The sequence below is a fragment of the Homo sapiens genome, chromosome 14 (assembly GCF_000001405.40).
Source record: "Homo sapiens chromosome 14, GRCh38.p14 Primary Assembly".
Classification (NCBI taxonomy): Eukaryota; Metazoa; Chordata; class Mammalia; order Primates; family Hominidae; genus Homo; species Homo sapiens.
In genome coordinates, this window is record NC_000014.9 from 57,343,109 (window position 1) to 57,367,498 (window position 24,390).

At 40.1% G+C, this 24,390-nt stretch overlaps 2 annotated features.

The window, feature by feature from the left end:
* Nucleotides 240-784: an enhancer, noted in NCBI's record as "NANOG-H3K27ac-H3K4me1 hESC enhancer chr14:57810066-57810610 (GRCh37/hg19 assembly coordinates)". NCBI's record gives its function as "activates a minimal SCP1, AML or CMV promoter by ChIP-STARR-seq in primed H9 embryonic stem cells {active_cell/tissue: H9 hESC(primed)}" and the evidence as "EXISTENCE:reporter gene assay evidence [ECO:0000049][PMID:30033119]".
* Nucleotides 21,272-22,163: an enhancer, noted in NCBI's record as "NANOG-H3K27ac-H3K4me1 hESC enhancer chr14:57831098-57831989 (GRCh37/hg19 assembly coordinates)". NCBI's record gives its function as "activates a minimal SCP1, AML or CMV promoter by ChIP-STARR-seq in naive H9 embryonic stem cells {active_cell/tissue: H9 hESC(naive)}" and the evidence as "EXISTENCE:reporter gene assay evidence [ECO:0000049][PMID:30033119]".

Consider the following 24,390-nt stretch of genomic DNA (forward strand, 5'->3'; position numbering starts at 1 on the left):
CCAGCTTTGTTCCGTTGCTGGTGAGGAACTGCGTTCCTTTGGAGGAGGAGAGGCGCTCTGCTTTTTAGAGTTTCCAGTTTTTCTGTTCTGTTTTTTCCCCATCTTTGTGGTTTTATCTACTTTTGGTCTTTGATGATGGTGATGTACAGATGGGTTTTTGGTGTGGATGTCCTTTCTGTTTGTTAGTTTTCCTTCTAACAGACAGGACCCTCAGCTGCAGGTCTGTTGGGGTCCTGGGCCCTGTGAGGTGTCAGTCTGCCCCTGCTGGGGGGTGCCTGCCAGTTAGGCTGCTCGGGGGTCAGGGGTCAGGGACCCACTTGAGGAGGCAGTCTGCCCGTTCTCAGATCTCCAGCTGCGTGCTGGGAGAACCACTGCTCTCTTCAGAGCTGTCAGACAGGGACATTTAAGTCTGCAGAGGTTACTGCTATCTTTTTGTTTGTCTGTGCCCTGCCCCCAGAGGTGGAGCCTACAGAGGCAGGCAGGCCTCCTTGAGCTGTGGTGGGCTCCACCCAGTTCGCGCTTCCCTGCTGCTTTGTTTACCTAATCAAGCCTGGGCAATGGCGGGCGCCCCTCCCCCAGCCTTGCTGCCGCCTTGCAGTTTGATCTCAGACTGCTGTGCTAGCAATCAGCGAGACTCCGTGGGCATAGGACCCTCCGAGCCAGGTGTTGGATGTAATCTCCTGGTGGGCCGTTTTTTAAGCCCGTCGGAAAAGCGCAGTATTCGGGTGGGAGTGACCCGATTTTCCCGGTGCCGTCTGTCACCCCTTTTTTTGACTCGGAAAGGGAACTCCCTGACCCCTTGCGCTTCCCAAGTGAGGCAGTGCCTCGCCCTGCTTTGGCTCGCGCACGGTGCGTGCACCCACTGACCTGTGCCCACTCTCTGGCACTTCCTAGTGAGATGAACCCGGTACCTCAGATGGAAATGGCAGAAATCACCCGTCTTCTGCGTCGCTCACGCTGGGCGCTGTAGACTGGAGCTGTTCCTATTCGGCCATCTTGGCTCCTCCCCGCCGGAAGCTCGCAAAAGCTTTTTTGTAGACACCAAGTACAATCTTTGTAAATGTAGTTGTCTCAAAAAACATCTGTCCAAACAATTCTTAAACTAAATATCCATAATATAGAAATATATAGGCAGATATAAAACTATTTTTAAACTTCGGTCATAGCAAACTGAAGATTATCTAAGTTTTAAAAAAGTTATTTTCAGCCTGTTTGCAAGATTATAGCTTTATGTCTAGCATAAATATTTCTCCTAGTTTTCTGGAACAGATAGGCTAGAAAACATTTACAAACAAATAAAAATAAAGAATTTCAGGCAACAATAAAAGTTAAAAAAGAAAGAAGGCTGTTTAAAAAACCTTTACCAGGCTGGGTGCAGTGTGGCTCACGCCTGTAATCCCAGCACTTTGGGAGGCCAAGGCAGGTGGATCACTTGAGGTCAGGAGTTCGAGACCAGCCTGGCCAATGTGGTGAAACTCCATCTGTACTAAAAATACAAAAATTAGCCAGGGGTGGTGGCGCACGCCTGTAGTCCCAGCTACTCAGGAGGCTAAGGTAGGAGAATCACTTGAATCCAGGAGGTAGAGGTTGCAGTGAGCTGAGATGGCGCCACGGCACTCCAGCCTGGGTGACAGAGTGAGACTCCGTCTCAAAAAAAAAAAACCTTTACCAGTTCCAATGCATTCATGCTGACACCACCATAACAAAGTAGTTGAAATGTTTGTTGTGATCAAGAAATTGCAAATAAATGAAAAGCCAGGTAGGTGACTAGAAATAGTTTACCTGTACTACAGCAAGAAGAGGAAACTTACCATCCTGTGCAAAGAGGCAGCATGCAGGGCAGAAGGGCAGGAAGCCCAAGGGAGTCTGCAGTCAGGAACACTGAGTTGCCACCTCAGAAAAACATCCATCTCCCTTATTACCCCATGGTGCTTTTCTGCCACACATCAAACACCAGATGGACAGCCAGCTGTCAGAAAACGTTGTCTGCTTGCCTCATAAATGGGAATATAGTGTGTAGAAGGTACCGTTTTAGAGTCTTGTACTTTCATGTGGAAGTGCTAGTAAGGCAGCAGGAGCTCAGGGTAGGGGTTACACGTTGCAAAAATGTCCAGAAACATCAAACACTGTGCTCTCTGCAAAAAGGTAGGCTCCAGCTTTAGCTGCTGATTATTTTGGCTCAAGCTGAGTCAAACAGTACACAAAGAATAGACAAAAGCCTGCAAACGACTGGCAGTCGCCATGGGGTTCACCAAACCAGTGCTGGCTCACTCCAGACATTGTTCTTTCCCTGTGGAAGCGCGGCTGCACCTGCGCCCAGATGAAGCTTGGCCACATCTCCTCTGCCGGACCTCTGGAAAACTCTCCTTTAGCGAGAAGATGGGACTCAGGTCATTGAAGGTTTTTGTTTCTGTACAGGGTTGAATGCTTATTCATATGGAGATTTTTATTCCGGAGTCTTCACTTATTTTAAGCTTGAGGGTTTGTTTTATTTATTTATTTTTATTTTACTATTTTTTTTTTTTTTTGCTGGAGCGCAGTGGCGCCATCTCGGCTCGCTGCAACCTCCGCCTCCCGGGTTCAAGCGATTCTCCTGCCTCAGCTTCCCGAGTAGCTGGGATTACAGGCGCCTGCCACCATGCCAGGCTAATTTTTGTATTTTTAGTAGAGACGAGGTTTCACCATGCTGGCCAGGCTGGTCTTAGAGCTTTTTTTTTTTTTTTAATGAACTATAAAATGAGGCATGACACAACTGTTAAAAACAGTTTCTTCTTCAATGACCAAACCCCAGTGCAGTTTCCTTTTTCTGGAGGCACATGGAATTAGCCACATCCCTCTAATATTAGCACTTATATTGCCTACTCAACCCTCTGACAAACTACCCACTCATTAATTGTCTGTTTTATTTTTGCCCTAATACCAATTCTCAGAGACCAATTTTTTTGAGTGCCTTCTGATCATTGTCAGGGCATATCAACTTTTTTTTTTTTTATTACTTTTTTCTTCAAGAAGTGAAAAGAAAAATCATTTTCTTTCATTTAATATTATGGGTATCAAGAATAATGTGATATTTATGGGTCTTAAGAACTGTCTGCCCATAGGGTTCATTTCTTAAATGACTATTTCTTAAATGTGTATAAAATATTCTATTACATGAGCAAGAGCCTCTTATTACTCTTTTCATTTTATAGAAAAGGAAATTAAGGGCAGTTACATGATTTTTTTTAGACAACATCTCACTCTGTCACCCAGGCTGGGGTACAATGGTACAATCACAGCTCACTGCAGCCTTGAACTCCTGGGTCCAAGCAATCCTCAGTTGTATGATTTCTGCAGAGCCCTACCATGCGGTGGAGGGAAAAGTTTATGATGAGAAACTTCAGGAATAATGATTTAAGCACTATTGTATTGTCATTTATCAGTGTGGGAACAGCATCAAGAAATCTGCACATTTCAGTCCTTTATAGAATGCAGAGGTGAGGAAAGAAAAAACACTTCTCTCAACACTTCCTTTTTTGGATTTTCTCCTGTATCAGATATAGCATAGGATTGCTGACCAGTGTTCACAGCTCCAGTGGGATCCTGGGTATTTCTAAGACAGAGCCTCTCTGAGCAGGAGATGTCTAGGGGTGGGTGAAGCAGTGGGCACGCTGTAAAAGCAGATCTCTCATGTTAGGCTTTCTTTCCCATTTGTAGTTATGTGGTTGAAAGATCCTTCTTTTGGTCAAGTATCTGTTTACTTCCACACAAGTATGTGGCTATTGTTATGTTCACAAAACACTCTGTTCAAAAGTCGACCTTCAAATATCCTTGATGGTAGAAAAGCAAACAAATGTGTCATTGTTCACTTAGATGACACAGGGCACCTCCCAATGTTTGCTCTAATCTGCTAATACCCTGTGGCAGGTGGAATCAGTTAAAAGAATTCCCACAAGAACCATTTTCTCAGTTGAACAAGATGGAAATTGCTCTGGATTAAGTTCAAATATCATTTGTGACTGTAGCACATAAAGACATTAAAGAAGTTTATAACACTGTGATGACTACTGTTCAACCATTACTTTCTCTTAAGATCCATCTCTATAGCCTATTCCCAAAACTTGGTAAGAAAATATAATGTGAAAGAGTGAACAACATAGCTATTTCACAGTAGGTCTAGTAATTCATATATGTTTAGTAATTCATATAGAGTCTAATTTTAAAAAATAAAGCAGGTAAAAATGACACTGATTGTTTCATTCATGGTCAGTCACAGAATCCCCCAGTATGGACCATGACAAACATCATGAGACATGCAAGAGGCACCAATATCCATAGTGGAAGCAAAGTCTCTGGAAGATACAAGTCAATCATTTGCCACAAATAATTTCCTGGGAAATTCATAACTGGGTAATTCCCATACAAGATGACTTCAAAAATGAAGTAGTGATCTGATTTCTGAGTCTGACTACACAACTGAACATATCAATAGAAAATGCACAAATCTTGAACAACAGGAGCCATAGTACTGATGAGATTATGTATTCTTATAACCTGTATAGGGAGTCCAATTGATTCAACACCGATGTTCTAAGATTTTATAAAATCAATAATTTTGAAGAAGAAACTGATATCACTGTTTCGTAGAAACGTCACAAAATTAAGGAAGACTTTAGCTTTGGCAGAGGGGCAAAGGGAAAAGCTAAATGAAGAAGCACAAAAATAAGACATGTTATCATCTTGGGAAGTCTTTGGTTTCATGTCTACTGCTGACTCACTCATTTTAATGACAATTCAGAAAATAGTATCTTCAGGATATTTCTATGTTAGCAACAAACAATTATTGATAAGTCTATATAGTTACATTTTTATACCTGCTTCACTCAAGAAGCAGTTGTAGTGAAACATAAAAATATGGAATATGATATTTCTGGTATCCTAAAATAAATTAGAATGAATAGATATAGCCTGTATTACCTAAGAGACACATTAATTTTAAACTTGTTTCCGTATTAAATCTTTATTATCTTTGCTCTATGTTATACAGTGAATGAAAAGTACACACTGGGGAAATATGGAAAATATCCTGAGTAGTACAATTCGTCTTGCAGCAAAACATTATGATCATTGTTATAATACATGTGCAGAGCTAAAGCCATTAATTAAAGTTTATGATTCTAGTTTTAAAAATTCAAAGAAGCAACTTATACTTCCTTGAAAGTGTAAAAGCATGTTAATAGCCTATTTACTTCGCAAAAAAATCAATAACAGAATCTGGCCCCATTACAAAATTCAAGAGGTACTATACTTAAAAAAAAAATCTATTAGTTAAGCAAATTCCATTACTTGAATGTGTTCCAAATAAAGAAGTTAATATTGATGAGAGACAGAACAAATTAAAGTATATTTAAAAACTCATAAAAATATAAATTAAAATATTGAAAATAACAGGAAAGAAAGTCTATGAATATTTTGGAAATTGTCATTAGGGAAAAGAGTGGCAATCCTTGTATTAGTGTTCTATTTCTGTAAGCAACTACCATAAACTTAAAGGCTTAAAACAAAATGCATTTATTATCTCACAGTGTTTTTGGGTCAGGAGCCTGGGAAAAGGTTTTCTGTGTCCTCAGATCAGGGTTTCACATGGCAGCAATTAAAGTGTCAGCTGGGCTGCATTCTCATCTGGAGAGTTAATTGGGGAAGAATCCGCTTGCAAGCTTATTCAGGTTGTGGGCAGAATTCATTTCTTTCAGCTTTATGACTGAAGGCCCCTTTTTCTTTTTTGAGACAGAGTCTAGCTCTGTCACCCAGGCTGGAGTACAGTCGTGCAATCTTGGTTCACTGCAACCTCCACTTCCCAGGTTCAAATTATTCTCCTGCCTCAGCCTCCCAAGTAGCTGGAATTACAGGTGCCCACCACCACACCCCAAATTATACAAAATTATACAAAAATATAATTTTTGTATGTTTAGTAAAGACAGAGTTTCGCCATGTTGGCCAGGCTGGTCTCAAACTCCTGACCTCAGGTGATCCGCCCACCTCAGCCTCTTAAAGTGCTGGGATTACATGTGTGAGCCCACCTCATCCATGAAGGCCCCATATTCTTACTGTCTGTCAGGTAGAGGCCACCCTGATGTCTTTAAAGGTCACTCACAGGTCCTTGCCATAAACCTCTCACAACATGGGGCAGCTTACTTTTTCAAAGTCAGTGGAAGAATCTCTCCTACCAGCCTGTTAGACATTGTCTTATATAATAAACATAATTGGAGCAGTGGCATCTTATCACATCTTCCATGTATTAATAGTATAACCTACTCAAAGGAGTTATACCCCCATTCTTTTGGTTAAAAGTGAGTCACCCACTTCTGCACACAAGAGAAGATTATACAAGGGTGTGACTCATTGGGAATCACTGGAGGGTGTGTTTGCCATAGTCCCTAGCATTTATCATGAATGCCTCCTTTCTGCAGGGTGCATTAACACTAGACGGTGATCTCTCTACCACTCTCTGGAACAAACGCAAACTTTAAAAGATGGTCCCCATGTCCACTTCTGAAAGAAGGAAGTGTAGGCTTAAATAATCAGCAACTATTTTGCATTTTAATGTGGCTGTGTTTTAATAATTAGTAGTTAGAATCCAGAACATGTGAGAGACATACTTCATATCTCACCTTTTAAAAGGTGGAAATTAAAAAGAGGACATATTTCAATGAAGGGGAATCTATGAAGGGGAATGTTGTGAGGGAGATGCAAGAATAGAAAATAAAGCTCAACAAAAATAGTAACAAAATCTCCTAAAGAAATTTTCAGAGGAAGTTTGATTTTGTAAAATTGAATTTGAAGGATTTCAAAGAGCAATTTAAAAGATCCTTACAAGTTTAAGAAAAATTGAGACAAAACAAAAATGCTGGTATCTACAAACTTTTAAAGAGAGCAGGAATTTGTCCCCCAAGGAAGGATATGCAACAGTTACTGAGGAAGGCTTTAAGTGACCTGTTCAATGGGAGAAGGAAAGAAAAAGCAAAAGAATCCTGATGGTAAGGATAAAGATTTCCCCAAGATAGCAGAAGTATTTCAAAGAATAAAACATAAAAATAGAGACAGTGAAACAGGAGATGGTTAAACAAGCAACAGTTGAAAATTAGGTTAAAAAAATTGGTAAAAGACCTCTGTAGATAACATTCAATTGGGTTTTTTTTTTGACATTTGAGAGTTTTAGTTACGTTAATATATGTAAGGCATAACATAATTCATTAATTTAAAATGAGAATAAAGTAATAAATGTGAGAACACTTTGATAAAAATATACAACTACAAAGTGTATTATATTTTGCATTCATTAAGATGCTTGTCTTGCTATTGTTTTTGTCGATAATAATGTGATGATGTAGTTTATTGACAATAGTGAGGTATGCATATTTAAGTATACTTGCCATTGATGTCAAAGTCAATAAAAACTTAATTGTTCTATTATAATTCTTGAATAATCTTTCTTTGTGTATGTTTAGTTATGCACTTTAAGTTTTTTTTCTCAAAAAAGTACACTAATTTCAATTAGTCATTTTTTAAAACTATTTTTTGGGCTGGGTGCAGTGGCTCATGCTTGTAATGCCAGTTTGGGAGGCAGAGGTGAGAGGGTAGCTTCAGTCCAGGATTTTGAGAACAGCCTAGGCAATATGGCAAGACCTCACATCTACAAAATATGAAAAAGTAAGTTGGGCATGGTGGTACGCACCTATAGTCCCAGCTGCTTGGGAGACTGAGGCAGGAAGATCACTTGAGCCTGGGAAGTCAAGGCTGCAATGAGCCATGATCATGCCACTGTACCCCAACCTGGGTGACAGAGCGAGACACTATCTCCAAAAAAAAGAAAAAAACAACTGTTTTTGGCCATCCACAAAAATGAAACTCTACAACCATAATCTCATTAATTTTCACATAATTCCAGGGAGGTTATCTAGCGTAATTTATTATATCCTTTTTTTATCTTAGGAAAATCAATGAAGGATAATTAGTATAAGTAATCTATGCCTATGAACAGTACCTCTGGCTGGAGCAAAGGAACTAGTTCATCTAGATGGTCATTTGAAAATTCAATATTTAAAAATTCAACTAACCGGCTGGGTGCGGTGGCTTACACCTATAATCCCAGCACTTTGGGAGGCCGAGGCAGGTGGATCACTTGAGGTCAGGAGTTCGAAACCAGCCTGGCCAACATGGCAAAACCCTGTCTCTACGAAAAATACAAAAATTAGCCTGACGTGGTGCCAGGCGCCTGTAATTCCAGCTACTTGGGAGTCTGAGGCAGGAGACTCTCTTGAACCTGGGAGGCGGAGGTTGCAGTGAGCCGAGATTGTGCCACTGCACTCCAGCCTGGGTGACAGAGAGACTTTGTCTCAAAAAAAAAAAAAAAAATTCAACTAACCAATTAGATAAACCTCATTGGTTTATCTAATTTATTTATCAAGTTTACTTGATGGAGACACGGGTATTTATGTTTTTTACTTTTGAGGTTGATCTTAATTAATATCATTGCATATTTTACCTCTTTGAGACTCCATGATTTCTTCACCTTTTTATCCAAGAAATAAAAGTATAAGAAGGATCTTATATATTAATAAATCTTAAATTTCTCATTAGTATGACTCCATTCTAAGCCCCATCTTATAATTTTTTTAATTTATGAAAATATAGAAACCATACCACCAAAATATACAATTTTAATACATTTACACATGCTTTTACTTCTAGGTGAGAAATAAAACAGTATTGCTGAGAAAATTATTAGAAATATGAACTACATCTCAGCTGTGATTACCTTAAAATCAATATTCCTTTATCTGAACAAGCAGCAGCAAAAATCATTAAGATGGGACTCTAGCAATTTAGGTTAAATTACAGCTCAATCATGAATTTGTTAGATCAGTTGGACAAATTGTTCCAACAATTTCCATTTCTGCCTCTTTTAAGTGTAATAAGCATAATCATCCTTGTTGGATACTATTATTTTGAAACCCATGTTTTTGGAAAAACTTTCAAGATTCTTAGATATCTAATATAAGAGAGGAAAGATACTATTACGAAAGTAATATCTGTCAAGGGGTAAGGTTTTTTTATCACATATATTTGAAATCATGTCCTTATTCATCCCCATGTGGGTGGTATGTGTGTTCACATACAACTCAGAGTAACACAGTATTTCATGAAATAAAATCCAGAACAGGCTTTAAAAAATATTAAGAATCCCGAGGAGTAAAGCAGGTGAATTTGTTTAAATGCCTGAATCCTGAGGACTCTTTTATCAATTCTACACAGCATCCAAAACATGTCAATGCTGTGGGTTCCTCTGTTAATCTGTTTTTGAATTTCCCAAGTGAAAAACATACCAAAGAAACAAAATTCAATTTAGAACTAGCTGCAGAGAGCCATGGACATGACTGGCTATGTTAAAACTCCAGCCCACCTCCACTGCGTGCACAAGCCATCCAGCTGCCCCTCGTAGCACCCAGCTGTCCCAGTGACGGTGTTTCCATGGCTATCACTACCACTACTCTGCCCCTGCAGCCTGTTAGACAAACACCCTTTGCTGTTTCTAAGAGTGCTTGCAGATCCACATAATTATCTTTTGTAGCTCTGATTCCCAAGGATTTGACCACTAGCTAAAACAACCATTTACCTGTTTTCATAAATCTTTTTTTCAGTTTTATTATTTATAATGGTTTTTTATATTGTCACAGCCGCCACCCCTTCCTCCACAATGCACGTCCTTTTCCCGTTAGCTTTTCTCTAAGTCTCCCTTAAATCTCAGCTAACAAGATCTCCTATGTATGACTAGCCATTCCTTTTCTTTGAATGTTCTTTAAAACAGACAAACCCCTATGATGACACACAGTTGGCTAAAAGTACATCATCAGGTGATCATACCACCGGTAGCAACTGTTAAGAAATCCCAGAGGTTAAAAGAGAAACCTGCTTTTCAGACCCAGTAAACTAAGAACTATCTTACAGTAGCACAGAATCAGCAGATGTTAAGCCTCAGGTCGTTGCTAGAGGACGTATTCCAAATTAGAGACCTTGGGGACCTCATCAAATTTGCCAGGATGTCTCAGTTTCTCCATTCTGCCTGGTGTATCCCTAAGAAAAAAAATTAAATAGAGTTTAGTTTTGGAACTAAAAGAGATTTGTATATTCACAATGCTTTCCCTGTGTCTAATAGCTTTAAGAGGTAAGTTTTTTTCAAACATTATTATTGTGGGTGTTCAACAAGGCTAAATATGTTTGTTGTTGTTGGTTTTTTTTCAAACCAGATTTACTTTTAAAAAGTACAACATGAAATCTGTGGATTATCAGAACACTTTTTAAAATTAAAGTATTTCTTCTTTTTCTATATTTTAAGTATAAAAAAGCAAATGACTTTTAATTTGTGCCTTCAGCTACTCATGTTGCATTAACTTAAACTGTATTAAAAAGTCATTTCTACTTTCCAGGTATTATAAACTGTCATGCTCCTAATAAAAAATTTTATATCACAGAAAATGTAATTTCCAAATTGCAATAAACAGCTTCTTTTCTCAGGTCCAGAGTCAAATATTGACTTTTTTAGCCCTGTTGGATTGTTCATTGACATAAATAACACTAGAGGGTGAGCAATGAATTTTTCTGATTTATGCAACATTGTCCTAATATTTCTGGAGGATAAAAATAGTTACATGGGCCAGACACAGTGGATCACACCCTAACCCCAGCACTTTGGGAAGCCTAGGCGGGCAGATCACTTGATCCCAGGAGTTCGAAACCAGCCAGGCCAACATGGCGAAACCCCATCTCTACTAAAAACACAAAAATTAACCGGGCATGGTGGCACGTGCCTGTAATCCCAGCTACTTGGGTGTCGGAGGCACGAGAATTGCTTGAACCCAGGAGGTGGAGGTTGCAGTGATCCAAGGTCACAACACTGCACTCAAACTTGTGTGACAGAGCGGGACTCTGTCTCAAAAAAAAAAAAAAGAAAAATTAGCAGGGAGTGGAGTGGTGGCACATGCCTATAGTCCCAGCTACTACTTGGGAGGCTGAGACCCAGGACTGCTTGAGACTGGGAGGTCGAGGCTGCAGTGAGCCGTGATCTCACCACTGCACTCCAGCCTGGGCATCAGAGTGAGACCTTGTCTCCACGAAAAAAAAAAAAAAAGATAAACATAGAATTACCATATAACCCAGAAATATATAACCCAGAAATTCCATTTGTAGGCGTATATGCAAAATAGTTGAAAACAGGTACTCAGATAAATACTTATATGTGAATATTCATAGCAGCACTATTCACAATAGCCAAGAGGTGGAAACAAACTGAGTGCCCATATTATTTTATTTTTCTTGAGACGGAGTCTTGCTCTGTCACAAACCTGGAGTGCAGTGTCACAATCTTAGTTCACTTCAACCTCCACCTCCCAGGTTCAAGCGGTTCTCCTGCCTGAGCCTCCCACGGAGCTGGGATTACAGACATGCACCACCATGCCCGGTTAATTTTTGTATTCTTAGTGGAGACGGGGTTTCGCCATGTTGGCCAGGCTGGTCTTGAACTCCTGACCTCATGTGATCCACCTGCCTCGGCCTCCCAAAGTGCTGGGATTACAGGTGTGAGTCACTGCACCTGGCCCAATGAAATATCATTTAGCCATAAAAAGAAATGGAGTACTGATTCCTACTACAACATGGATGAACCTTGAAGACATGTTTACTGAAGGAAGCCAGCCACCAAAGGCCACATACTGTATGGTTCTATTTATACAAAGTGTTCAGAAAAGGCAAATCTATAGAGACAGAAAGATTAGTGGTTGCAAGGGGCTGGGGGAAGGAGGAGAATGACCGCTAATGGTCTGGGGTTTCTTTTAGGGGTGATGAAAGTGTTTTAGTACCTTGTACTACCCACAAGCGTCCTTGCCTCTGTGCCCTAGAATTCTCTGAATCAATTCCAGCTTTCTACTTCTGATTTGGACAAGTTCAAGTGAAAGTTCAGAAATCTTATGGGCAAGCCCTATCTTTTATTGATCCAGTTCAACCTATAATTGTCCTAGGACTTAGTGTAGTTCTTTCTGAACCCAATGCTTGAATTATTGAATTGTATTCTCTTCGGTGTAAGCCATGGTCCTCTTTGAAGCTCAAAGTCTATGTACAAAAACAAACAAACAAAACTAAATACAGAAAGAACTCAGACTCAGTGGTTAGCAGTATAACCCCAGGTCCCTTCCCTCCTAGACACTAAGCAGAGTCATGATGCAGATTACTATTCCTCAGAACACACTGGCTTAATGTGTTGGGACTTTGCTTTTTGTTTTGGCAGGTCTCAAAAGTTTCTTAATGCTCTGGGACCTTAACCCTAAGAAAAGCTATGAAACTATTGCTACCTCTGCGCATGATCATCTTCATGATACTCATGCTCTAATTGATCATGACACTGTGTCCCAGATTTGTCCTTAGAATCCTTTTCATCATGCTACATGTAGCCACTAATTTTCAGTTGCATTTGCTACAAGAGAAGCCCATTCAGCATGGTTTGTTCAAATGGGGGAGGGGGCTAGGAGGCTGGGAGGAGGCAGGGGTAAGGGAAGGGATTCATTAACAAGAGGGGACCAGGCACAGAGGAAGAGGGAGTCCTACAGGCATAAAGAATGCTAAATTTGAAAAGAGCAAAGAGTTTTCAACACCGTAAGAAAGAAAAAAAGTTTACCAAATCTGATGGCCTTTTTCCTTTCATAGTTACACCAATACTATACGTGTCATACTTAAGAATATTTGTTCTTATAAGAAAAGAACACAATAGACTTGAAGTCTGGAGATCAAATGTTATTCCTGTTTTACTTCAACTAACCACTCTGGTTGACCTGGTACTTTCCTTTGAGGTTTTCTTTTATGTATTTGTTTTACTGTATATTTAAATACACACATGTGTGTATGTATGTGTGTATCTGTTCCTGCTAACAAAAGCAATTTATTCTTATTTTGAAATTTCAACTATTAGTAAGACATATAATGGAAAAAATAAGTAAAGATCCCCCATAATATCTCTCCTAGAGAAAAACCACTCAGTGATTTGGTGTCCATTCCTTCATTTTTTTTTTCTATTAACATTTAGTTTAGTCTTTTTAACAACTGCATAGTATTCCACTATTAGAATGCATCATATTTTATTTAACCACTACTGATGGACTTTTGAGTTGGGGACAGTATTGTCTTATTACAAGTAGTGCTTTAGTAAACATCCTAATATATATGTTTTTGTGCATTTGTGCAAGTATTTCTCCAGAGAAAATTTCTATAAGTGAAATTGCAGGATTGGAGAGTATGCACACTTAAAGTTTTAATAGATCTCCAAATACGTCATATCAAGGTAGACTCTCAGTAGCAGTGTATTAGACTGCATATTTCTGGTTTGTTTTTTAAGGAACATGAAAACAATGAGAAAAAGTGTTTAAAGATTAGGCTCCTATATTCTTAGGCCACAGTACTTAATAGGCAAAAAATAATCATGTCTCCAAGGGGAGTAATATCACAGCTGTGGGTTGTCAGGACGTCACAACCAGTAACAAATCTCACAATGTACCTTCTTGTACATTTCATTGATTTCTGAGATTCCTCAGCATTATTGGAATGGAAGAATACGATAGTATTTATATGGTTTCACATTAAAAAGTGAGATAAAAGGAGGAAAGTAAAACTTGTTTATGTTGTAATTTTTATTCCTTGCTTCATCTTCAGTTCTAACGCTCAGTCTCAAGATCAGGACAGCACATTATTGGTAATAATGTAATATAAAAATTTAGGTTCCTAAAAGTGACAACCTATTTTCTTCACCAAGTATCAGTGTTTAAGAAAAAACAACTAAACAACAAATTTGGGTAGAAAAACATATGCCTCTTCAAAATTACTTATTGTTTTTAGTTTAAACACTTACAACACTGCCTAGCCTTGTGTGACTTTTGTATAAAATAGTGAGCAAGTGTGGCCTAGTGGACAATATACTAATTAATAGCTAATACTAATAACTACTACTATTTTTGAGTACTAACACAGGCACTGTGTTAAGTGTTTTACAAGAATTATCTCATTTAATCTTCATTATAACCATATGACATGAGAGCTATTATTATCCCATCTACAGATACAACATATAGTTTTTTCCTGATAAGCACTTTAAGCACAGTTACAAATACAGATGCTTTGGACAGTGATTTATAATGCTGGAAAGTGCCTTAAAGCTCATCTTCCTCTTATAACTCATTTTTCCCTTGGAAGGCGATACTGATTGATTACATCTTTACTTTTCCTACCTTCGGTATTGTGAGGATTAAACATTACACAAAAATAGGACATGCAATTCGTTCTGGATTTATTTGACAATGAAGGGGAGAACGGTGGATCTTCTCAGCTGGGATTGAGCAGGGATCTGAGCCAGCCTCAGAAGCTGGAATCCTGCCCATAGGGTGGCCCTGTTTCACTTCCTTGCTAATGCCCAGGTGGGCACAACGTGGCTCTACTCTTCAAAAGTTCTCTTAACACAGGAGAGGTCTCAAGCTAGCCCTAAACAAGCAATAGGATTAGATCCTTGATGCTCATGGATAAACCATCCTGAGGACAATTTACCTCATTGATGAATTACTGTTGGGCAATTTATGAGTTGTACTATAATGTGAAAGTGAGGGAGAAGAAAGCCTCAATGTACAGTAAACACAGAATTTGGCAGAAAGGGATCCATGTAGGAAAAGAAGCCCGCGAATCTTAGTAGGTACATGCTGGGCACAGCATGGGCAATAAATTTTGAGGTCTGTAGAAGAAAAAATTGTATCACTGAGATAAAGTAAAAGAAGAGAGAAAATGATGTGAATGCACAAAGAGGGATTAACATTCGTTCCGCTTCAATACAAAAGTATATTGTGCTTGTATTGAAATATCAATTTTGAACAATACTTCATCTGCGCCCCAGGCTATTCGTAATAAAGATGTCCTCCTTGGAGCATAATGAAGAAGTCTCAGAAAGTTAGCAGTTAGAGGGAAGATGATAATCAATCAGCCTTGACGCAATTTGATCAAAAGTAATGAAAGAGATGGAGAGTAGGCGAGTGTTCTGAGCAGCAAACACTTAAGGAAAGAGCATTCGTTTTTACTGGTGTAACCTTTGGTATTTAATGCATTTACAAATGAGAATCTCATCTCTGCCTGCCATTCTTCTTTGTTTAAATATTGGTTGTTTATTAAACTCAATTCCTTAACAAAGTATTCAGTATCTAGTCATGCTTTTATGTAAGAAAAGATTCTCCAAAAAAGATATATTTTAGAAATTGATTTCTGAACTTTAGGTTTCACACTATCATCCCTTTCAGGGCCAGAAAGCAATTAGCTTTCTGTCAAACTGGGAAGTTAATCTGGAATGTTTTCAGGATGCTCAAGTTCCTGCAAGCTTTATACCTAAAGCAGATTCGCAGCTGTTCAGAGAACAACCTTTGAAGTAATCATGCTTTGCTAGCATCTCAGATGTTTTGCTTTGATCTGCAGGTACCATTTTTCCTAAAAAAAAAACTTTCTTATGATTGTTGTATTTCTTGTCACCAAACATTTAAGTTCTGCAATGTCCATATTCCTGTAAACCAAGGTTGACATATATGGGCAAATATTTTGCCAGTTGTGTTGTTTTTGGTAATATACAAGTAAGAGAAACAATATCACTGAAGCTGTGTTTTCTTTTAAATTCTCATTAAAATTCATTTTGATTATATAGTAATTTTATATTTTCCTTTCATGTTCACATTCTGGAATTTGAATAAGAAAGATGAAGTCATTTATCTGCAAACTTTATGCAAAATGAGAAAAAGAACAAACAATTTCTTAATGAGTTTTATTCCTATCATTGTTACAGCATAGGTTTTAGGAAGTTTTGTATAAAAGTATTTGATAACTAATATATGTTTAACAATTAATGAAATATTTACTAATTATCTTGCATATGAAATGGTATTTATAAAATGTGATGGAGAAGGAAAAAAAGAAAAGTGAAAAGGAAACAAGCAAGGAAGGGAGAAAAGGAAGAAACGCTAACAAGAGAAGATGGAAGTAAAAGAGAAAACAGCTAAAGTCAGGAAAGAAAACAAAAAGAAAGAAGATCAAAGAAAAGGAGGGAGACAAAAAGAAAAAAAGGCAAAATTGAAGTGATTATTTTCTACAAATCTCATTGAGTTATTGCTATTAATATATATTTCTGTATGTGTATAAATGTATATATACACATATATACATATACTTCTTTAAATAAATGTCTTTATTTCCTGAGTACACATAATACTAAGAAAAAGCAGTCCCAAATGTTTTTCTTTCCTGTTATTACATTTTAAGGGAAAGAAGATCTTAAAAGGAATATTTCCCAACCTTCTTGAATGCAAGGATAATGCAGCATGGTTATTATTTACAGTTTTAAAAAGCATTGCTTCTGTAAATTTTCCTACCCTGATATTTGCTGTTGAGGCATTCATCTGTTTATTTTAAAAAGATAATTGAATAGCTTATGGAACACTTTACCTCCTACCAACGTAAGGGGCTAAAAATGTTGAATAAATGAATAAACTGTAAATTAGTGTCTATAAAAGTCATTTAGATCTTAAAGTCAGATTACTCTCTGAAAAACTGGTATCTACTCTTCCAGAGGGCAATAAATACATGTGAGGTTAGACTTTATAACATTGCGTTTCAAAAATGTATTATAATCTAGCATCGCTAATCTTGATACAAACATTTTTAGCTTAGTTTTTATGTTTTGAATTCAGCTTTGATACCAGGACCACCTTGTGATTAGAAATCCTGTTTTGTCAGTTAGAATGTAGCCTGCTTCAGCTTATCTGGTCAATAGCTTTTCGCTCTGTTGCATACCTTGAGCATATGCATCAGCTACAATGTTTATAGGTAGCTGTATGGTGTTTGACACAGCACATGGCGTACCTTTAAAACAATTATAGCACTGGGATTTGGATCTGAATTTATGTTGCCTTGTCAAAGTTTCCTCTTTGTAACATGGTAGCCTTTTAAATATTAGGCAGCTACCTGCAACACTGGGCATTCAGACTAACCCATCAGGCTTATGGCATCTTGCTCTTCTCGTTCCCTCTCTGTGTGTTGGTACATCATGTTAGGTTTATGCAGTAGACATAGATAGGAAGCAAGCCAATTGGCTACAGGGTATTGAAAGTCAATTGCTGAGAATGATAAAAGACAAGGATAGCCTTCTCTGCAAAGAAGTGCTAAGAAGATTCTAAACGTATACAAGGATCTCAAGAGAAACAGTCCCAGATAGCAACACTATTCAGTCTTAGACTATGGCTGATACTATACACTTCTCCAGCTCCTCTGCTCCTCAGAGCAGAAAACAGAAGATTTTGAAATGAGCACCACCCCAGCTCCTGAATACAATGGTACCTTTCATCTATTTCTGGTGACTTTTATTTTCTTTTGTTGCTGGATCCCCTACATAATTGTAAGCATATCGCAGGCAAGCACAATGGTAAACAGTGGGTGGACGCTTCCTCCGCAGATGCAGACAATATCTGCCTGGCCAGCACTGCTTAATTCAGCCATTAACCCACTTTTAGACGCTCTTTTGAAGAAAAGGTGCAGAAAAGCTCTTAAGAACTTAAAGGAGAAGACGCTTTTCAAATTTCGTTTTCTGGTTCAAGATGTTTTGGTGAGTCTATCTGAAAATGCTAAGGAAAAAAGCAGAAAGAAAGGCCTTCCAAAGAGTCTTAAACAACCCCCAGGCCTCTTTTAGAACAAGCAACATGCGTAACATTTGGCAATGTGCAACACTGCAACTCATAAAGCAACCCAGTCTGATAAAGAAATACAGGAGTATATTTCAAACAATTTTTCTGATGGGGAAGAGAGATCCATCTGGATTGTGGGAGTTTGCAAATCAGAAGCAAGCAGCCCTTTCATACCCCAGTGGTAGAGGGTCTGAGGATGAAGATGAGTGCAGACGACATAACTCACAGACTAGAAGTTCAAGGTTTGCTGCCTGACATCTTGGAAGCAGCTACAATAGTTTCCTCTCTGGTGCTCCTGCCTTCACTAGTTTCCCCATCCAATCCGTCATACACACAGCATAGAGTAATATCCTTGAGGCACAGTGATTAAACTATGCACTCTGATTGAAAGTTTCAGTGGTTGCCATTCCCCAGAGAGCAAATGGACACAAGGCCCTCTTCCACAGCCCCCTCACTTGCAACATGCTCTTGCTCACAATACTAGACAAAGTACTTGATATTTTCTGGACATGCCCTGTACTTCTTCTTGATAAGTCTTCATCTTATTCTTTTCTCCTAGAATACTTATGCTCCACCTAGAATGCTTATGCCTCATTCTCTTTTATTGAAATCTTGGCTGGGCACAGTGGCTCCCAGCACTTTGGGAGGCCGAAATGGGAGAATTGCTTGAGCCTAGGAGTTTGAGGCTACAGTAAGCTGTGATTATGCCACTGCACTCCAGCCTGGGCAACAGAGCAAGACCCTGTCTCAAAAAATAAAAAATAAAAAATCCTACCCATTGTTATGGGTTGAATTGTGTTTTCCCAGAGATGCATTGAAGTCTTAACCCCCAGTACCTATGGATGTACTTATTTGGAAATCCGGTCTTTGCAGATCCTTAATTTAAGATGAGGTCACTAGGGAGGGTTCTAATTCAATATGACTGGTGTTCTGATTAAAAGGGGGGGGGGAATTTGGACACAGACACCAACACGCACAGAGGGAAGATGATGTGAAGACAGCCATCAATGATGGAGGCAGACATTGGACCCATGCAGCAGCAAGTGAAGGAGCAATGAGGATTGACAGCCACCACCGGAAGCTAGAGAGTGGCAAGGAAGGATTCTGCCTCAGAAAGTATGGCCTTGCCAACACTTTGATTTTGGATTTATAGCCTCCAGAACTGTGAGACAATGTTACCAAACTGAACAGGGTCCACTTTCCTGGCACAGTAAAGCCAAACATCCACACTGAGGTTTTGTAGTGGGAGAAAGGCAGGCATTTATTTGCAAGGCACCAAGAAGGAAAATCAGGCAGCCCATGCTTAAGACCTGACCTCCTCAGTGACTTACAGGCACCGGTTTTTAAAGGCAGGAATACATTTCAGGAAAGCAGAAGTTACAGGCAAACTTGTAAATCAACACATTGAGGTTATACATTGGTTTGGCCTAACAAGGTGGGACATCTTGAAGTAGGGGTGCTTACAGGTAATAGGTGGATTCAAAGACTCTGATTTGCAATTGCTTATGGAAGCAAAGTTTTGTCTAAAAACTTGAGGTCAGCAGAAAGGAATGTTTAGGTCTGATTTGTGGGCATGACTTCCTCCAGGCCCCTCAGGAAGGAATTTAGAACAAAGAACAGTGGTCAGAGTTCAGTGGTCAGTTCCCCCTTATCTGAGATCTACAGGCCAGCAGATCCACTTGGTGGGGATCTGAGTTTCTGAAAAACAACTCAAGGACATATGTGAAGATGTTATCCTTAGTTTCTTTAAGGAACAAAACATCTGTGACTCCAACTTCCTTAGCTATTGTTTTAAGCTATTGTCACCTTCTCAACTTATCAAGTTGTTCATTTTCTTCTCAGGGCTAGCTAGATGCCTGGAATTTGCCTTAAAGGAACCCACAATTTTCCTTTATTTCCATGCTTGGGAAGGGGGTAACTGGCAGGCCCCTAAGAGGGGTCCCTGCTCCATCTCAACAATAAGTTTCTGCTATTTTAAGTCACCCAGTTTGTGGCATATAGGTTGTTACAACAGGCCTAGAAAACTAATACTCTATCCCTCAAGGACATATTGCACCTACTCTGTTAAGCCTTCCCTGTTCAATCTATTTAAAGTAATCCCTTGCACCTCTTATGCTCCCCCACAGCCCTTATAATATTTTAAGAGCATGTCTTTTTGTTTACATTTTTCCCATTAAATTGTGAGCTCTGGGATAGACCCTTTATCCAGTTAATCTTTTTGTCCCTCCAAAGCCAGAATGTACAGCTCTGCATTTAGAAAGCTTCCCGTAGATGCTTATTAAGTTAGGGGAAGGGAATCTGTGTTTTTAAAGATACTAATGACAAATAACTTATAAGAAACTAATTTTAGATAATGTCTTGTTATCCTCTGTTAACTTATTAACCATTTCTGGAAGAATGCTTAGGAAAAAACACAGTGTAAAACTGGGAATGGACGGTAACAGGCAGTTTCCAGTTTCCAGTTTTCTAGTTACCATTTTTTACCTATAGATAAATTAAAAATTCCAGTTTGATAATATGCCATACTGACATGGATTTAATAAAACTAGCATTCCCATACATTAGTACAGTGAGGGTGCAAATTAGTACAATGTCTTTGGTGGGTGATTTGAAACACAGCTACCGAAATTTTTAATGTGCATAATTTTGGCTTAAAATTATGCTTTTAGGAATTTATCTAATAGTAATATTCACATGTGTTCAAAGATATATGTACAACTCTATTCAAGGCTGTGCTGTTTAAAATAGCTAAATAATTTTTGTTTTTGTTTTTTTTGAGACAGAGTCTTGCTCTATCTCCCAGGCTATAGTGCAGTGGCGCAGTCTTGGCTCACTACAACCTTCCCTTCCTGGGTTCAAGTGATTCTCCTGCCTCAGGCTCCTGAGTAGCTGGGACGACAGGTGCCCACCACCACGCCCAGCTAATTTTTTAATTTTTTTAGTAGAGACGGGGTTTCACCATGGTGGCCAGGGTGGTATCAAACTCTTGACCTCAAGTTATCCGCCCACGTTGGCATCCCAAAGTGCTGGGATTATAGGCATGAGCCACTGCACCCAGCCTAAAATAGCTAAATAATTTTGGAAAACATATGTGTCAATGAATAGGGTACTAACTGAATTATGGTTCATCTATAAAATGGAATATTATGCAGTCAATAGAAAGAATGGAGTGAAACTACATGAATTCATAGGAAAAGAGCTCCAATATATATTATCAAGTGAATGTAAATAAAAAATACAATGGAATATATAGGATACTTCTATTTGGGGTGAAGAATGTATAATGTAATATATAACATACATATGCTTATATATAATACGATTATTTTGAAATGATATGTAAGAAACCAATAACTGTAGTTATCTTTGGGAGGAAGATTGACAATTTTGGTTGGAAGGAAGATTACTTTTAATTCTATAAACTTTGGTATTATTGGAAATTTTACCAGATACATGTATAACTATTTACAATTTTAAAAGTTAATAAAAATTTATTAGCTGGGTGTGGTGACACATGCCTGGAGTCCTAGCTGCTCAGGAGGCTGAGATGGGAGGATCACTTGAGCACAGGAGTTCAAGGCTGCAGTGAGCTACCATAGCACCACTGTACTCCAGCCTGGGTGACAGAATGAGACCTTGTCTCTAAATAAAAAAATTTTTAAAAAGTTAACAAAAATTTTTCTTGGAGAAAAGCTACAGTTAAATATGTACACAAGGATTCCTGGGCAAGATGGCCGTATAAGAATAGCTCCTATCTGCAGCTCCCAGCAAGACCAACACAGAAAGTGGGTGATTTCTGCATTTTCAACTGAGGTACCCGGTTCGTCTCATTGGCACTGGTTAGACAGTGGGTGCAGCCCACGGAGGGCGAGCCAAAGCAGGGTGGGGCATTGCCTCACCCAGGAAGCTCAAGGGGTCGGGGAACTCCCTCTCCTAGCCAAGAGAAGCTGTGAGGGACTGTGCAGTGAGGGACGGTGCTATCTGGCCCAGATACTACGGTTTTCCTATGATCCTCGCAACGGACAGACCAGATTGCCACAGGTGCCTACACCACCAGGGCCCTGGGTTTCAAGCACAAAACTGGGTGGCCATTTGGGCAGACACCAAGCTAGCTGCAGGAGTTTTTTTTCGTACCCCAGTGGCACCTGGAACACCAGCGAGACAGAACCATTCACTCCCCTGGAAAGAGGGCCGAAGCCAGGGAGCCAAGTAAGTAGTCTTGCTCAAAGGATCCCACCCCCACGAAGCCCAGCAACCTGAGATCCACTGGTTTGAAATACTGGCTGCCAGTACAGCAGTCTGAAGTCTACCTGGGATAGCTCGCACTTGGTGCGGGGAGGGGCGTAAGCCATTACTGAGGCTTAAGTAAGCGGTTTTCCCTTTGTTTTTTGTGTAAAGAAAGCTGCAGGGAAGTTCAGACTGGGTGGAGCCCACCACAGCTCGGCAAAGCCGCTGCAGCCAGACTGTCTCTCTAGAGTCCTCCTCTCTGGGCAGGGCATATCTGAAAGAAAGGCAGCAGGCCCAGTCAGGGGCTTATAGATAAAACTCCCATCTCCCTGGGACAGAGCACCTGGGGGAAGGGGCAGCTGTGGACGAAGCTTCAGCAAACTTAAATGTTCCTACCTGCCGGATCTGAAGGGAGCAGAGGATCTCCCAGCACAGCGCTCAAGCTCTGCTAAGGGACAGACTGCCTCCTCAAGTGGGTCCCTGACCCCCGTGCCTCCTGACTGGGAGACACCTCCCAACAGGGGTCAATAGACACCTTATACAGGAGAGCTCTGGCTGGCTTCTGGTGGGTTCCCCTCTGGAACAAAGCTTCCAGAGGAAGGAACAGGCAGCGAACTTTGCTGTTCTGCAGCCTCTGCTGGTGATACCCAGGCACACAGGGTCTGGAGTGGACCTCCAGCAAATTCCAGCAGACCTGCAGCAAAGGGGCCTGTTAGAAGGAAAACTAACAAACAGAATAGCATCCAAATCAACAAAAAGGACGTCCACACAGAAACCCCATCTGAAGGTCACCAACATCAAAGACCAAAGGTAGATAAATCCACGAAGATGAGGAAAAACCTGTTGGGAACAGGCCCCCCAAAATCTGGCCATAAACTGGCCCCAAAACTGGCCATAAACAAAATCTCTGCAGCACTGTGACATGTTCATGATGGCCGTGACGCCTACGCTGGAAGGTTGTGGGTTTACCAGAATGAGGGCAGGAACACCTGGCCCACACAGGCCAGAAAACCGCTTAAAGGCGTTCTTAAACCACAAACAATAGCATGAGTGATCTGTGCCTTAATGACATGCACCTGCTGAAGATAACTAGCCAAACCCATACCTTTATTTTGGCCCATCCCTTTGTTTCCCATAAGGAATACTTTTAGTTAATCTAATATCTATAGAAACAATGTGTATCACTGGTCTGCTGTTAATAAACACGTGGGTAAATTTCTGTTCGAGGCTCTCTCAGCTCTGAAGGCTGTGAGACCCGATTTCCCACTCCACACCTCTATATTTCTGTGTGTGTGTCTTTAATTCCCCTAGCACTGCTGGGTTAGGGTTTCCCCGACCGAGCTGGTCTCAGCAAGCGGTGCCCGTACGTGGGGGCTCTAATCCAGGTCGAAGGGTCACTGGAGCAACAGTTGGAGAATGTGGAACTAAGCTGGAGGACACCCGAGTACTCTTAAAGCAATCCCCGTGATGAGTAAGAAGGGGAGCTCGGAAGTGTCAGGGTAACAATGGGACAAGTGTGGGCTCTGGTTCATTCCACCTTGGAACTTTTTCACACTGATGATGAGGAGGAAGGAGAGTATAACGAAGTAACAGAAGAGGTTACAGAGCAGGTTTGCCAGCTAAAGCTAAAGCTGCAAAGGAGGGAGAGGTTCATCGCTACCCTTCTGTACCCGCTCATGATTATTTTGAAGAAAAAGAGTGGCCTGACCCCCCAGATCTTCTTTTCCAGAGGACACTGGGCGAAAAGTAGTTGCCCCAGTGACTATTTGAGCAGCGCCTCGAGCGACCACTCTCAGTTCTATTCAGGCAGGAATTCAGCAAGCTAGAAGAGAGGGTGATTTAGAGGCTCGGCAGTTCCCTGTTAGGATACACCCCCCAGATCAACAGGGAAATATTATAGCTACACTTGAGCCTTTTCCTTTTAAGTTACTCAAAGAATTTAAACAAGCATGGTCATGTTAAAAAAAGAATGTAGAAAAATATCAGCGAGTCAGGCCACCAGATAGGGGAAAAAAGAAAACTTCTGAGCCTGAAATATGTCCAAAATGTAAAAAAGGAGAACATTGGGCTAATCAGTGTCACTCTAAGTTTCATAAAGATGGGAACCCGATTTTGGGAAACACCATGAGGGGCCCGTCCCAGGCCCCATTCCAAACTGGGCATTTCCGGCTCAGGCCATTCCCTCACCCCTGTACAATGTCTGTCCCCCGCCACAACCAGTAGTGCTGCAGTAGATTTATGCTGCACAAAAGCTGTGAGCCTTCTGCCTGGGGAACCCCCCGCAAAAGGTCCCAACAGGAGTCTGTGGACCCTTGCCAGCAGGGATGATAGGATTGCTTCTAGGAAGGTCTAGTTTAAATTTTAAAAGGGGACAAAAACATAT